General features: G+C 44.9%; 1 protein-coding gene across 3 annotated transcripts in view; it reads left to right on the top strand.

Moving 5' to 3' along the window:
- Nucleotides 1–16819, top strand: part of FBXO32 (F-box protein 32) — a 43318-nt gene that overhangs the window by 14925 nt on the left and 11574 nt on the right. For 2 of the 3 annotated variants that reach the window (NM_058229.4, NM_148177.3), the window contains 2 exons: nt 11949–12042; nt 12900–13084. The exons of the other annotated variant lie outside the window; for it this stretch is intronic. In NM_058229.4, the coding sequence (NP_478136.1) occupies nt 11949–12042; nt 12900–13084 (279 nt within the window). The remainder of the gene's footprint in view (nt 1–11948; nt 12043–12899; nt 13085–16819) is intronic. 3 annotated transcript variants of the gene reach the window in all.

The raw sequence follows: 16819 nt of genomic DNA, 5'->3' as shown, positions 1-16819 counted from the left end.
TGCACTCCAGCCTGGGTGACAGAGGCTGTTGTTTTAGAAACTCTGTCTCAAAAAAAAAAAAAGATCATCGAAGGGTGTTGCCACAAGCTGGTTATTATGATCTTGGTCAGGCCTCACTCGCCCATCTGTAAAATGGAAATGATGACAATAGCACCCTGCTCCTAGGTAAGATGAGGACTAAATGAGATAAGCAGTTTATGAGTGTTAGTCATGTGTAGTAAGAAGTTTATAAACACTAGGGATGATTGTTCATTTAAATATGGCTAGAAAAGGACATTGGACAGACTTGAGAAGAGGCTTTGAGTGTGAGGCTATATTATCTAGTACGCAGGAGGAAGCCACTGGAAAAAAAACAAGAAACAGCACCTTGGCCAAGCAGTGTTTCAGAAAGTCATGACTTCTAACAGGCTCTGGCATCCCCAGATGCCATCAACCAGCAAATTATAAATCTGTTACTTTGTGGTTTACGAATTCCATCTTTGTATATCTACGTCTTTGATAAGCACAGTCAAGCTGTACAGTAGGCAGATGTTGTTAACCCATTTTAGAGGTGAGGAAGCAGAGGCCAGGGAACTGGGTGATTTGCACAAAGTTGCCTGCCCAGGAAGGGACGTGGAATAAAGGCAGGACCTAAGCCTGGTTCTCCGACTCCTGCTCCAGTGTTCTCTCCTTTCGACTGCATTGCTTAGAGGGCAAAATGCAAAATGGAGCCTGCCTTTTATCACCACTAAAATATTTGCACACATGCACACAGGCTATATCGCAGGAGAGGTTCTTAATGCCAGAATGACCTTTGATCTGATTACTCCTAGCTCTCTCTGTAGAATGAGAATAAGCCCAAGTCTACAGTAACTGTAGCTACCATTAACAGCCCAGAAAGGTCACGGAGAACTTGAGTACCAATTTTCTCACTGGAGTAAACTGACCCGTATGTGCTAGTGGATCAAGAAGAACAAATAAAAGCTTGCAACCCCAGTTTCTTTGTCCCTCTGCAGCAGAGCATCACAACCTAAACTGATGCACATTCTTATTTTTTTCTGCGTTACCACCCTAAGTGCATTTGAATGTTTCCAGCAAGTTACTGCATTCCTACCACCCCTGAAAGCATTTTCCAAAAACATGTTTTAGTTTAAGTTGACTGGTGGTTTGGCAAACAAAAGGCTGGAATATGGCACGATGACTCAAATTTAAATTCAATGCCTTAAATTAAGGGCATGCTGTTGCCAAGCCCCTGCTGGGCCTTGATGTGCATCAGCATCCTGGCCCCTTCACACAGGTTCCTCTGCCACAGTGACCTTGGATTCACTTAAGGCTGTACATGCAGTGGCCTTCCTCTGATGGAGGGTGGCCTCGGCCACCTGGGCTTTAAACTGGTGCTATCTGGGATGGAGAAAAGGCCAACCACTGCAGCAGCAATAAAGCCAAAAGAGCAGAGCCACGGGCCCATTTGAAAATGATGCACAGAGCCGGGCGTGGTGGCTCACACCTGTAATCCGAGCACTCTGGGAGGCCACGGCAGGCGGATCGCCTGAGGTCAGGAGTTCGAGAACAGCCTGGTCAAGATGGTGAAACCCCGTCTCTACTAAAAATACAAAAATTAGCTGGGTTGATGGCACACTGCTATAGTCCCAGCTACTCTGGAGGCTGAGGCATGAGAATCACTTGAACCCGGGAGCCAAGATCGTGCCACCATCCTGCAACCTGGGTAACAGAGGGAGACTCTGTCTCAAAAAAAGATAAAAAGAAAAAGGAAAAGAAATGATGCACAGAAGTGATTGTGACCCCACCCTTCTGAAACTTCATAGCCAACTGCCTCTACCACATCTTGGTACTGGGGTCATTAACTTTGAGGGTACAGGGTGGGCCCTTCAATGGCTGGTTAAACTGTTAGTGATTTCACAGGAGGAAATCTGTATCTCTTGGAATTTCTGGCCTTGTTAGTCATTATTATTAGCATTCAGACAGGCAGATCCTGCGGTGTCTAGGTGCCCACGGAAGTGGGGGACACTCACAGACGGGGGGACATGGCCACAGAATTGGAGGGGGCTGTGCAGAAAAAGGAGGCCACCTGAAAAAGTGGGAGATGCCCACACCACCCTAGATGTAGTAGGGTATTTGAAGAAGTAGGAGGGTACCCACAGAAATTAGGGTTCCCATGGAAATGGGGGAAGACTAAGACTAGAGCATAGACTCCTAATAGTATAAAATAACTTAAGCATGCACTCTCAATTTATGCATATTCATAAATTCACTTATAACTCATATACCTCTAAAAGATGCCAGTAATGATGTCTACCCTGCAGTGTTGCTGTGAGAATGAAATTGAATTTCAACCTGGTAAATGCTGTAGAACCGCGCCTGGTATGTGGTAACATTCAAGGAGTGTAATGGTTGTTGCTGTTACTGTCATCATCAACTTTAGGGACCTTATTGTGGACATTAGAAAATACACAAAATCAGAGATTAAAGATGATATAAAATACTGAGATTTCTGTTTTATTATTTTTCTACCTGATTTTCTTTCCAGTACCACTTCAGAGACTGCTGGATCAAAAGTGTGCCCATTTTGTATAATTTTTTTTTCTTAATGACTCAGGATCTAAACCTATACCACCAGCATCCCAGCAGTGTTTTCTTTCTTTTTTTTGTTTGTTTGTTGTTGTTGTTGTTGTTGTTGTTGTTTGTTTTGTTTTGAGACGGAGTCTCACCCTGTCACCAGGCTGGAGTGCAGTGCCGCGATCTTGGCTCACTGCAACCTCTGCCTCCTGGGTTCAAGCGATTCTCCTGCCTCAGCCTCCTGAGTAGCTGGGATTACAGGTGCCCGCCACCATGCCCGGCTAATTTATGTATTTTTAGTAGAGACAGGGTTTCACCATATTGGCCAGGATGGTCTCTATCTCTTGACCTTGTAATCCACCTGTCTTGGCCTCCGAAAGTGCTGAGATTACAGGCATGAGCCACCGCACCTGGTCAATGTTTTCTATTAAAATTCTACCTAAGCATCTAGGCTCTGTTGGGGGCTTATCATAACTTAGGATGTGCCAAATTGGGCAGGTGAGCTGGGTTTTCAGTGCCAGTCCCACAGACCTTTTCTCATCCAAGGAGGGATGCTCCCAAGAGTATTTATACTGTGCTCTGAGTATCTGGGACCCAGAATCTGAAGGCCTCATGAGTCCACTACAGGAAGAGGTCTCTGATGGCAAGGAGCGGTAATTGATGGCATCCTCCTTCTAGGTCTCCACATGCGGCAAATTGCTTTAAATGAATGCTTTTGAGCCCCTGAACGGGTATTTCTATTTTGGGCCCAAGCACCTAGTGTTGCCATAGCCACTTGAGAATCGTGTCAGACCTAGCCCCTGCTTGTCAGGTACTTCTGGGCTACTCTGGGGGACAAAGTATAACTATTCAAATGGCAAGTTGAATTAGTACAGTCTAGGAGCCTTGGAGATGGCTTCTTGAAAGAGGTAGAACCTGAAATTCTCCTTCCTTGAGGGACGGCCAGGATTTGGCCAGATGGAAAGGCAAGTGGAAGGCTTTGCAGGGACAAGCAATGTAAGCAGAACCTAGAAATGGGAAGGAACAAAAGTGAAGGGGAATGATTGTGGGTCAGGGGCCAATGGCGATGTGACATTCAGCCTATAGAACCATAGGGCAGAGGTGACAGTTGCTGGAATAGATGGGAGCTCAGTTTAAGGAAGATCGCCAAGCCAGACATCGCTGTTAGATGGATGTAATGGGGAATAAACTGCCATTGTCAACTCAAAAGTAACCAGGGCCAGGTGTGGGGGCTCACACCTGTAATCCCAATACTTTGGGAGGCCGAGGCAGGTGGATTACTTGAGGTGAGGAGTTTGAGACCAGCCTAGCCAACATGGTGAAACACCGTCTCTCTTAAAAATACAAAAATCAGCCGGACATGGTGGCAGGCACTTGTAGTCCCAGCTACTCAGAAGGCTGAGGCAGGAGAATCATTTGAACCCAAAAGGCAGAGGTTGCAGTGAGCCAGCTCACACTACTGCACTCCAGCCTGGGCAGCAGAGTGAGACTCCATCTCAAAAAAAAAAAAAAAAAAAAAAGTAACCAGGATGGGTAAAAGATGAAGAGGCAAGTCTCTCTCTGCTGAGAATACAATTAATGCATGTAAACTTGGCTCTCCTTATTATTTTAACTCCCTCTGTTAAAAGAGAGCTGTTTCACTTGCAAATAATATTTATCCAATCTTGACATGCCTGCAGATTATTAATGTCGCTGAAATTTTTTTCTCTTTCAACCTGTCAGTGTTCAAGCTCAAAGTCAGAACAAAACTTTCCAGGTTTTTTATCTGTGTTATTCATTGAGTAAATAAGGGTCTTGGAAGTACCCAGCACTCAGAGCAGAGAGAGACACTGCCTAGTCTAACTAAAGGTTTATTATAGAAGACGCAACCTTCCTATAGATGGGCACCCAACTTGGGTATTGAGCATGTGAGGCATGGCAAGGCTGCTTGAGGCTGGGACTCGTTTCTGCCTTTGATAACTCTGGCAGATTTTCCAGTCAGACACATACTTCATACTGTAACACCCCACTGTTATACGAGATAAGGAATTTGGGGATAAATTGTGTTCTCATTCTTAACAATTCTGTATGAGAATGATAGAGCATGCTTAGGCAGCAGCCTTGTGGTTTTGTCCTTTTAAACTAACAGGTAGAGGAAGCTGCTATTTTTGTTGATGCTTCTGAAAGCCCAAGTGTTTACTGTCCCTCCAGATCTCAGGCTGCTTGCCCTTCTGGAAAGTGTTTGAGATATGTTTGCATTATAAATAATTTACTCCTAGGCCCATGCCACTCCTGGGGCATCAGTCTGGAACTAGTCTCCATATAGATATCAGCCTGACCAGCCAGATGGTCCACCATTGACCTTGATGTGTCATTTGGCCATCATGAGCCACCTCATCTATAGCAGGAGGAAATTCGGGTAAACTGTTTCCTGAGTCCCTTCCAGCTACAACACTCTTTGATTCAAAAAGACAAATGTATGTTTTAAAAAACACTATTTGTTGAGTGCTTACCATGTGCCAAGCTGGGGGTAGAGTGGGAAACAGGACAACACTTGCTGTCTTGAGGGTTCCATCCTAATTAGCCTATCAGCAAGTAAGTGAACAAGACCAATTCAGATATGCATAAATGCAACAATGAAGAACAATGAAACCATAGTAAGGTGAAGATGGCAACAGGGAGGTTTTTGCATAAGATGGCCAGGGAAGGGCCCTCTGAGCCCGGGGCAGGCCACGTTTGAACTGAGACCTGAGGGATGGGATGGAGCCGAGCATGTAAAGATGTGGCAGAGGCAAAGGCCCAGAGGTGAGAATAAGCTTGGCCTATTCGAGAGACGAATAACCTGTGTAGCCGGAGCAGAGTGAATTTGTGCAAAACTAGGCTGGAAAAGGGGTAGAAACCAGATCAGGGAGAACCTTGCCAGTCATGGTAAGGAGCTTGAGTTTTTTCCTAAGCGCAAGGAGAAGCCATTTGAGGATTTTAAGCAAAGAAGTAACGTGAACTGATGGATTTTTAAAACTATGAATGCTATGCTAAAATAAACTGTAGGGAAGAAGACGTAAGAAGCCTGCTCTTGATACGAGAGCAGTGAGATAAGAGGGAAATCTCTCTTCTGCCCATTCGTCTTGCACACACCACTTCAAACTTTGGTTGATATCCGCTCTGAGATTTGCTATACGATATTGCTTGCAACTAGATTTGTCTCCTATTCGTTGCCTCCAGAACTAGCATGAGCCAAAGCTGAAGGGCAGGATGTGGTTTCAGCATGCGGTGACCACCATCCCTCCCTCCAGTAGCTCAGAGCCATTCCTGGTACTGCACGGCTCGTCACTGCAGATCATGCCGGATGCCCAGAGTGCCCACACGATAATGACACCACGGAATTCCAGAGGAGCCGAGAAGCCTCCTCCTCCTTCCCCTTCCCTCCCCCTGCCTCTCTTTAAACATAGCCACAAATTACTAGCACCTGGGCTAAAATTTGCCCAGTCAAAAACAAGCAGCCACTTCCAAACAAGACATTTTCCTCTGTTCTTTTTTTCTCTTGTGGCTAGGGGCAAAGAATCCAATTGGCTAAGTCATCCTGGTACACAGATTGCTAGATACAAACCTACTTTCCTAGGCACGCAGCTCTCTTAACACAAATAAAATCGATAAATTTGGGCTGTGCGCGATGGCTTACGCCTGTAATCCCAACACTTTGGGAGGCCAAAGCAGGCAGATCACCTGAGGTCAGGAGCTCAGGACCAACCTGGCCAACATGGTGAAACTCGATCTCTACTAAAAATACAAAAATTATCCAGGTGTGGTGGCGGGTGCCTGTAATCCCAGCTACTCAGAAGGCTGAGGCAGGAGAATCATTTCAACCTGGGAGGTGGAGGTTGCAATGAGCCGAAATCACGCCATTACACTCCAGCCTGGGCAACAGAGCAAGACTCTGTCTCAAAAATTAAAAAATTTAAAAATCGGTAAATTCTGCTCTCTTCACTACTAGTTCCATACATCACTACCTAGTAGTAGCTCTGGGCCTATAGAGTGATGCTGATGTGGAAAGTAGACTCTGTGGTTTACCCAAAGCAGTTGCCTCATCCTAAATGTGCTGGTAGCACTTTCTGAGCATTACAGTGCCCTTAATATTAAAAGTTGTTTACCAGTCACAACATATTATTATATAAAATTTCTTTTTTTTTTTTTTTTTTGAGATGGAGTCTTGCTCTGTCGCCCAGGCTGGAGTGCAGTGGTGTGATCTCAGCTCACTGCAAGCTCTGCCTCCCGGGTTCACGCCATTCTCCTGCCTCAGCCTCCTGAGTAGCTGGGACTACAGGCACCCGCCACCGCATCCGGCTAATTTTTTGTATTTTTAGTAGAGATGGGGTTTCACCATTAGCCAGGATGGTCTCGATCTCCTCACCTCGTGATCCGCCTGCCTCAGTCTCCCCAAGTGCTGGGATTACAGGCGTGAGCCGCCACGCCCAGCCCAATATTATATAAAATTTTCTAGACTCTGTTTCCCCAGAACATAACAATAAATGGTATTGCTCCCATTTTGGAGTAAAATTTGGCCCTCCATGCAAATTGATTGGCCTTGACAAACTGAAGTCCTGAAACTGTCAGAATATATGTTCTGCCAGGCACAGTGGCTCATGCCTGTAATCCCAGCACTTTGCGAGGCTGAAACACGAGGATCGCTTGATCCCACAAGTTCGAGGCCAGCCTGGGTAACTAGGAAGACCCTGTCTCTACAAATAGAAATAAAAAAAATTAGCCAGGCATAGTGCTGTGCCCCTGTGGTCCCAGCTACTTGGGAGGCTGAGGTGGGAAGATAGCTTGAGCCTCGGAGGTAAAGGCTACAGTGAGCCATGACTGTGCCACTGCACTCCAGCCTAGGTGACAGAGTGAGACTTTGTCTCAACAAAAAAAAAAGAAAATGTGTTCTCTGTTAGACATATCTGGGCTCAAGTCCTGGCTCCAGCATTTGCTACTGCTGGTATGGCTTTAGGTGAGTACTTCTCTGAGCCTCAATATCCTCAATGGTTAAATGGAGAAGCTATCTCACTGGGTTGCTGTAAAAGATAAACAAGATTACAAATGTATAGTGCTTAGCTGCAGTTGCTGACACATAGTAAGCACCCCATTGTTATTGTTATTGTTAGCAAAATAAGACTCCATGGTAGAAAAACTATGCAAGTCATAAAATGTATCAGCATTAACTTTTATCAACAGATAGGGTGCTATTAAATGTATCACCAACATAGTAAAATGACAGAAAGGAATATTACAGTGTGAAAGCATTTATTTATTTGTTTGACAACAGCTACAATTGAAATACAGCAATTCTGAAGGTCTTTAAATGGGTTGCACTTTGCCCTGTTAACTCACTATTTCCTGATTGGCAATAATTTTACTTGGTAATGCTCTGTATTATGGTAAAAGCTAACAATAATAATTTATCGAGTATATTCTTTGTAGCAGGCACAGTTATGAGTGCTATGTGAATACATTTAATCTTCACAGCAACTTTGAAGTAGGTACTATTACTGTGCATATTTTGAAGATGGGAAAACTGAGGCAGACAGTTTGCCTCTGGAGCCCTCACTCTTAAACTCTTATGATATATACCAGAAACTGTGACATAGCCCAGGTGCCAAATCTGGCCCTCCACCTGCTTTTGTAAATAAAGTTTTATTGGAATACACCCATGCCCACTCATTTACACATTGTCTATAGCCATTTCGGTGCTATAGCTTCAGGGTGGAGTAGTTGCTACAGAGACCACGTGGCCCACAAACCTTAAAACACCTACTGTTTGGCACTTTGCAGAAAAAGTTTGCTAACCCCTGATGTCAACTTTAAACTTCACAAAAAGACTGGAGTTTAAAGGGAAAGAAATAATATCTTATAATAAAAATGCCTTATGTTTGGTATTTACTGTGGATTTGTACATATTTATCTTACTTAATTCTCATAGCAATCCTGTGAAGTAAGTAGTCTTTTTATTTCCATTTTAGAAATGAAGAATCAGGAGTTCAGAGGGATTAAATGACTTACACTCTAGGCTGAAGAGCAAACTCCATGAGTGTAGGGATCATGTGTCTTCATCATCATGTCCCTGTCACCTACCACGATGCTAGCACAGGGTGGACACTCAGAAAATACTTGCTAAATGAATGACAGTTACAAAGGTCACCCAGCTAGAGAATCCAGGTCTTCTCCTCTTCCAGGGTTCTTTCTCCTGACTCCACAGCTGTCTGACAGTTAAAAAAAAAAAAAAAGGTAGGGGGGACTTTCCCTTGAGATAGGATGAAGCACAGAATGGTTAACATGTCGTTATGCTGTCAGTTGACAAATTTTTGCTGCTATATTCCTCCTTCTCCTTAGAGAAGATAATCAGACCAAAGACAGTTCGTTTCTCCTCCAGTGCACAGTCATAGTGTTGAGAGTTTACTTGTCCTTGTGATTGGTGCATATTTTGACAAGATTAAAACTGACACCCTCATGAGATGGTAGTCACATGGAATCTGGGTTTTGGATGGATTTCAGGCAGAGCTCTGGCTGCCTTCCTCCCAACCCCTTGCCCCACCTCCTACCCAGTGATGAGTCACAGTGCACAGCTGACTGCCCTTCAAAAGCCGACCCGAGGCTTTTGTTTTCTTTCATCTGCTTCATGTTGGTCATGTGAGGATCAGGGTATTAATAGACCATCATCTTGGCCTTCCGAATCTTGCTGTTGGTCAGGGAGGTAAATGAAAGGTTTGGCCAGTCCCTTTGTGCCATTTTCACTCCTCTCTTGACTGTCACGTGCTGGTTGGTGGCAAAGCTAAACCACAGCATTCGGTGTGGTCACCGCCCATGGCCATGGTCTCTACTGGTGTTTTGATTTCCCGCCTCTTTCAGCAGACACTCGGTGAGCTCCTGACTTCCAACTAGATCACCAGTACTAATTGCAACAAACCACCTCCTCCTCCCAGTCAGCTAGCCTCATCTCTCCCTGCATGTGGAAAAGATACAGAAGCCAGGGAGAAAAAGGAGTTTGGTTTGGGGGTGGCTTTTTTTAATATGTAAAGTAAAATTACATTCAGGAAATTAAAAGTCTGTGTGTGGTTTAACAGGCTCCTAAAGAGCTCCACGGGGACAAACATGTTATGCAAATGCCATGGAAGCAGAGGTGCTCTGAATTGCCTAGGCCGTTGATCCAAAAGTTTCCATTCTCCTCTGCAACCCAATCTTTAAAATTTCATTTTGCTTCTTCCCTCAGCCTTGATTCCAGCACCCACCACAGTGTCATGCTCAGTGTTTATTGATCTGAAATGAAGCTGGGCTGAGGCCTGGCCAGGAGATGAAACTCTCTTAGAAAGTTTCCTAGGAGCGGAGATTCTAGCTTCAGTGTAAAGGAGGGGTCTCGGTTCTCTGTGTCTAGTCTACTGAGTCTCAGGCTAGTTATTACCACAATTACTTTTGCACCAGCCTAATAGTTTTCTCTGGGGGCCTGGTGGGTTCTCGTGAAGTTAATTACTTTCACTTTATATCAACCTCTTTTGTTTGTTAACTCTTTGAAAGCATGAAGTGTGATATTTTCCTGTGTTGAGAAGGACTCTGCTGAGTCCTCACTAGTTGTGGAGTGGCTCATAAGGTGGGTCTCTTGAGCCTCGCTTTGCTCATCTGTTAAGTGGATTAAACTAGATGGTCTCTTAAGATTCCTTCCAGTCTAAAGTTTCATTTTTCAACAATAGGATCTTTGTTTTTTATTTTTTATTTTTTAAGATGGAGTCTTGCTCTGTTGCCCAGGCGAGAGTTCAATGGCACGATCTCGGCTCACTGCAACCTCTGCCTCCTGGCTTCAAGCAATTCTCCTGCCTCAGCCTCCTGAGTAGCTGGGAGCACAGGCATGTGCCACCATGCCCGGCTAATTTTTTGTACTTTTAGTAGAGATGGAGTTTCACATGTTGGCCAGGCTGGTCTTGAACTCTTGACCTCGTGATCTACCTGCCTTGGCCTCCCAAAGTGCTGGGATTACACGCATGAGCCACCGCACCTGGCCTTTATTTGTTTTTTAATCTTGCCATGTCAGTAAAGAATTTTGCTATAGAAGGTAAAAAAGATTGGACTAAGTACGCACTAACTTCAGTTATTATCTTCATTTATTTTTGTCTGGCAATTATGGGGTTGGTAGGAATGGGACATACTTTTTCAACAAACAAACTGGCGGGGCGCGGTGGCTCATGCCTGTAATCCCAGCATTTTGGGAAGCCAAGGCAGGTGGATCACCTGAGGTCAGGAGTTCGAGAGCAGCCTGGCCAACGTGGCAAAACCCTGTCTCCAATAAAAATACAAAAAAAAAAAAAAACTGTTAGCCAGGCGTAGTGGCACATGCCTGTAATCCCAGCTACTCAGGAGGCTGAGGCAGGAGAATCACTTGAACCTGGGAGGCGGAGGTTGCAGTAAGCTGAGATTGCACCATTGCACTCCAGCCTGGGCAACAGAGCAAGATGCCGTCTCAAAAAACAAAACAAAGAAAACCCTTTATTTAGCACCTAATTAGTGCCAGGTACTTGCTGAGGGCTTTATGTGCATTCTCCTATTATCACTCACAACAACCTTGTATTATTGACTCTACCTTGTATTAAAGGTATTAAATACTCAACCTTGTATTAAAGACTCTAAATATTATTAGTATAGATGAACAAACTGGGTGGGGCACCAAGAAATATAGTAACTTGCCCATCATCACGGAGCTAATACATGTTCAAATCAAGACCTGAATCTAAGGCCAAGAGCTACAAGGATCCAAGTTTTTAGCCACAGTGACATCATATAAAATACATCCCTGAATTTCTCTCTCTTCCTGTGATTGGCGTCTTTCTACAGAAATGTAAGTGCAGTGAAAGAGTCTAATTAATAGACATGTTTATTGAACACTGCAGAAGCAGGAGGTATCAGGATAAGACTCTCCACTTCCATGGAAAAAGTGCACATGGCTGCTGAAGATGGGCTTTAGGTGCCTTGAGAGCAGTCAGTGCCAATAAGGAAGAAGTTCAAGCGGGGGCAGAAGAATTCCCCCGGGAGGTGATTCTGCAGAACTCAGCCATTCACAGGTCATGGGAGATTTTGTTCCCTTCAGGGTACGTCAGCTTCACTTGCTGAAGTAGGACAAGTAGATTGAATTAGCCCTGGCTGAAGCCAAAATTCTTTATATTTAAAAGAAGAAAAGCAATTAAATATTCAACCCAATCCTGGGTTTTGAATTACCCCATTTATCTTTCACTCTGAGCATCTGCTTTTTATTGCATTGTGGCCCTGCCTGCCATTTATCTCTCCCCGTCAGTCTGTATCCACGTGTCATGGGACTCAAAAGTGAAGATTAGAGGAGAAAAATATCTCTGTACTCTAAGCCTGGCAACTTCTATTTTTATCCTCAGCTGTTGGAGCTGATAGCAAAGTCACAGCTCACATCCCTGAGTGGCATCGCCCAAAAGAACTTCATGAATATTTTGGAAAAAGTGGTACTGAAAGGTGAGCCTTCTCTCACTCTCTCGCCCCTTTTTATAGGCATGGAGGTGGGCAGATGGATTTTCCAATGAAGTGGACGTGTCATTAGACTTAAAGACATGTGAATGGATGGAAATGAATAACTCCAGCTACATTTTAGAGACACTAAATTCCAGTTCGGAAAGGGGTACAACTCATCCTCATGGCAAAGGGTGAGACCATCACCCTCCTGTCCTTTCTTTGGGACCATCCACTTGCCCTACTATAAGCCTCGTAGGCTTCTCAGTGTAGACACAGGTCCCAACACTGGCTACCGAGCCTCCGGGTCCCAAATTCCTAGAAAATCGACATGTGTACAAAGTCAGAATAGATTCGTAGACTATTCGAGCTAGAAGGAACCTTAGGTCTCTGGTTCAACTGACTCATTGTACACATGGTGAAACTGAGGCCCATGAGGAGAAGTGATTTGTCCATAATCACACAGAGAGTCAGCCAGACAGGATTAGAACCCAGGCTCCAAACCCCTGAAACCATGCTCCTTCCACTGACTGTCCTAAACGGGGTCACTTCTGGGCAAAAGGAGTGGCTTTCTGATCAGGTGAACCATGGCTGCTGGGAGAACAATGAAAAGAGAAAGAGGCTTTATAGAAAATGAGAGAGAAGAGAACAAAGAGGGACCTAGATAATGGAAACTCTACCCTTTAACCTCAAGTGCAGAAGCTTGGCCAAGCGTACAATAAACACTGGTGAGGAAGAAAACCATATCCCCAGAGGCAGTGCCTGGGTAACATGAGTGGAATACAGACAGAGACAAGCTCATGTGTAAAATACAGGGTGTTCCAGTATCATAACTTTAATTATTTTTTTCTTCCCTACTCAAGTCCTTGAAGACCAGCAAAACATTAGACTAATAAGGGAACTACTCCAGACCCTCTACACATCCTTATGTACACTGGTCCAAAGAGTCGGCAAGTCTGTGCTGGTCGGGAACATTAACATGTGGGTGTATCGGATGGAGACGATTCTCCACTGGCAGCAGCAGCTGAACAACATTCAGATCACCAGGGTAAGCGGGCAGGCCCAGCCTCCTCCCGGCAGTGGGTCCCTCCACAGGGATACTGGACAGACTCGCCAAGACTTTGAATTCACTCCTGTGACGGAAGAGTCTGGTCTTTTCTGATCTGCTGCTTTGTTCTGGTGCTGAGGGTGGGCTGGGGGACCTCCTGATAAAGGGAAGTGGGAAGAAAAACTTGGCAAAACGGGATCAAAGTACATGAAAGATGACAGCCTGGTGAACTATTATGGGAAAGCTGGAAACTTGGCTTTTGGGGAGATGCTGGCCATCCTGCTGAAATCTTTAGCGGGGTTCAGAGATGTCTCTTTGCTCATTTCCTCCTAAAGCATGAGTTGTTTGCAGCCTTAGGTTGCTGTCTTGAATACAGTAGAGCTGGGAAGGCAGTAGCTTGGAGAACTGGTACCAGCCTTTTAAAATCCTAGTTCCGATTATTGGTAGTTATGACAAAGGAAGCCTTTGATTAAAGTCTGTGAACTTACATGTGGGAAAATGATGAGCAATTCTCAAAGCAAAAAGGAAAAGCCGTATATTACCAGTGAGGTTTGGCGATCTATAGCAGTTGTTTCTTTTGGCTTTCACAACATAGCTTGGCCCTCAGCTCTTGTCCTCCTAATAGTGAGCAGGAGGACCAAGGCACAAGAAAAAAAAAAAAAAAAAAAGGGAGGAAGACGCTGGTGTAATCTCTTAGGGCTCACTAAAGGACAGACACACTCAGGCGGCTCATGTAGCACTTTGCTTATTTATCTCATCACTGACTGTAACTGGCTTAAGTGGTTTCCGGGACCCACACTGATAAAGTTTGAGGTTGCCTCATATCAGGAGAAGGTAGCAGGAAGAAATCCTTTGGCTTCTTTTAAATAACTGTTTTACTAGATGAAGTTTTCAAAATGCATGTTCCTGACTTTACTGGTAATTACGTCTCTGTACCTGCACTTTTTAAGCTGTGAAACAGAATCATTCGAAGGCTCAGAGGTATGTGACTTCCTTAGAGCCACTTAGGCTACAACACCTACACGCTGCACCCACAGACACACACACAGAGCAGAGCACGGATGCAAGTCATCTTTCAGAAATGATCTCAAGTATTTGATTTTTTTAAGAGAATGTACATATTTATTATGAACATTTACCTGATTTATTCTAATAATTTACCCCATTCCCACATCTCAAGTGTAGGCAGATAGTCTGACCATGTGAATGTGAGACCCAAGTTCCCAACTTATCTCTCACAGAAAACCCACATACACATTCTACCTGGTTTCTGGCATTCTCTATGGCCTGGACTGACTGACTGGGATTTTTCTAAGGCCAGGAGAGAACTGTCCAGCCAGTGATATAAACAAGCGGGTCCCATGTGTCCCAAGGGCACTTCCCTTCAGCAACTTCAGAACACCCATTTAGACGATCACAGTTGGCCAGGTGCAGTGGCTCATGTCTGTAATCCCAGCACTTTGGGAGGCCGAGGCAGGCAGATCACTTGAGGTCAGGAGTTCGAGACCAGCCTGACCAACATTGTGAAACTCCATCTCTACTAAACATACAAAAATTAGCCAGGCATGGTGGTACACACCTGTAGTCCCAGCTACTCGGGAGGCTGAGGCAGGAGAATCACTTGAACCTGGGAGTTGAAGGTTGCAGTAAGCCAAGATCACTGCTCACCAGCCTGGGTGACAGACTGAGACTCCATCTCAAGGAAAAAAAAAAAAAACAAAAAACCTCTAGATGGTCACATTTGCCTGGAGCTTGCCTCTGTTCCCTCTGTCCACTTCCAAGGACCCCTCCTGGCCACATCTGTCCACATACCCTGCACTGCCATAGGCTCACATGCTCAGAACCCTCCTTAGCTCATCCACAAACACTCTTCGGAGCTAGCTATTGTAGCTGTTGTTACCCCTCTTGGAGTGGAGGTGGAGTGGGGACCAGAGACACCCAGTGACTTTCTTAGCGATGCACAGCACTTAGGGCCAGAGCTGAGGCCAGAACCTTGGATTCCGTATTCCTAAAATGGCAAAGCTTGCTTGACATCAGTGGTTTCCAAACTTTTTCAATCCAGCTTTCTTCCAACTATTTATCCAATGATCCAGCTTTTTAAAAAACTCTCTTTAATCCAATGAGATCCCATGAAGAAGAGATCAAACACTGAAGTTCACTCACTATCTCTTCTGCACGAGGAGCTCCAGCCGAGCCAAGCCATTCTCTGCACACTCCAAGCTTGGCCCTGCCTCAGGGCTTTGAAGCTTGCTGCCTTCTTTGACCATCCAATCTATGGACATCACCATCATATCACCTTCTTCCGAGCAGCTATGATCTGAAATTGTCTAATGTGTGTGCACTTTTCTGTCTCTGTCCATGGGCTTATAAACTCCACAAAGAAAGGACATTACCCATCTATTCCCTGTTCCTGGCACAGAGCCGGAGACAGTCAGTAAATCTGAGCTGAATGAATGAATGGTTGAAAGGGAGTCTCCTCCCATTGCCTGCCTGAGTACTCGTTCAGTGTTCAAAGGAACACAATTGGAAAACATGGCCCTGTATTATGAATGATGATAATAATTTACCAGCTGTAGGATTTCTTTTTTTGAAACAGGGTCTCTGTCACCCAGGCTGGAGTGCAGTGGTGTGATCTCAGCTCACTGCAGCCTCCACCTCCTGGGTTCAGGTGATTCTTCTACCTTAGACTCCCCGGTAGCTAGGATTACAGGCATGCACCACCACACCCGGCTAATTTTTGTATTTTTTGGTAGAGACAGGGTTTCACCATGTTGGCCAGGCTGGTCTCGAACTCCTGACCTCAAGTGATCCGCCTGTCTCAGCCTCCCAAAGTGCTGGGATTACAGGCATGAGCCACCGCGCCCGGCCCCAACTGCAGGATTTGAGGCAAGTTATTCAGTCTCTCCATGCCTCACTTTCCTCATTTGGAAAATAGTTGCAATAGTGTCAACTCATAGCCATGGTATGAGATTTAATAAGTTAACATATAGAAAGCAGACGGCACAGTGCCTAATGCACAGTAAGTATTGTAAATGTATCAGCTGTTATTATTAAGGGCTGGCTCTGTGCAGGCCTTCTTCTAAGTCCTTTGCATGTATTAATTAACTCACCTAGTGAAGAATTGTAAATAGGAGTCATCACAGTGGCTAGCATTTATTGGGCGCTGTACTGAGTGCTTCTATGTATTATCTCATCTGCCCCACCCAGCAACAATGTAGGATAAGCTTTTTCTCATGTTATAAATGAGAACAATTAGAACAAGTAGTTAAGAATAATTTGGCTGATGCCTCATGCTTAGTAGGATGTGGCACAAGAACTGAACCCAGGCCTGTCCACAGAGGCTGTGCTTTCAACCACTGTACCTTCCTCCCACTGTCCTCTGTCCCAACCCTCCTTGGCTCTGAGCTTCCTTATATTGAGAGCTGTACTGGAACCCACGGAGCCTTAAAGGGCTTTTCTTTTTTTGTTTTTGTTTGTTTGTTTGTTTGTTTGTTTTTGAGATAGGGTCTTATTCCCCTTGCCCAAGCTAGAGTGCAGTGGCATGGTCCTAGGTCACTGCAGCCTTGGCCTCCTGGGCTCACATGATTCTCCCACCTCAGCCTCCCGAGTAGCTGGGACTACAGTCACTCGCCACCACACCCAGCTAATTTTTGTATTTTTAGTAGGGATGGCGTTTCACCATCTTGCCCAGGCTGATCTCGAACTTTTGGGCTCAAGCAATCCTCCCGCTTCAGC

The sequence above is a fragment of the Homo sapiens genome, chromosome 8 (assembly GCF_000001405.40).
Source record: "Homo sapiens chromosome 8, GRCh38.p14 Primary Assembly".
Taxonomy (NCBI): domain Eukaryota; kingdom Metazoa; phylum Chordata; class Mammalia; order Primates; family Hominidae; genus Homo; species Homo sapiens.
This window is presented reverse-complemented; position numbering and strand designations above follow the sequence as displayed.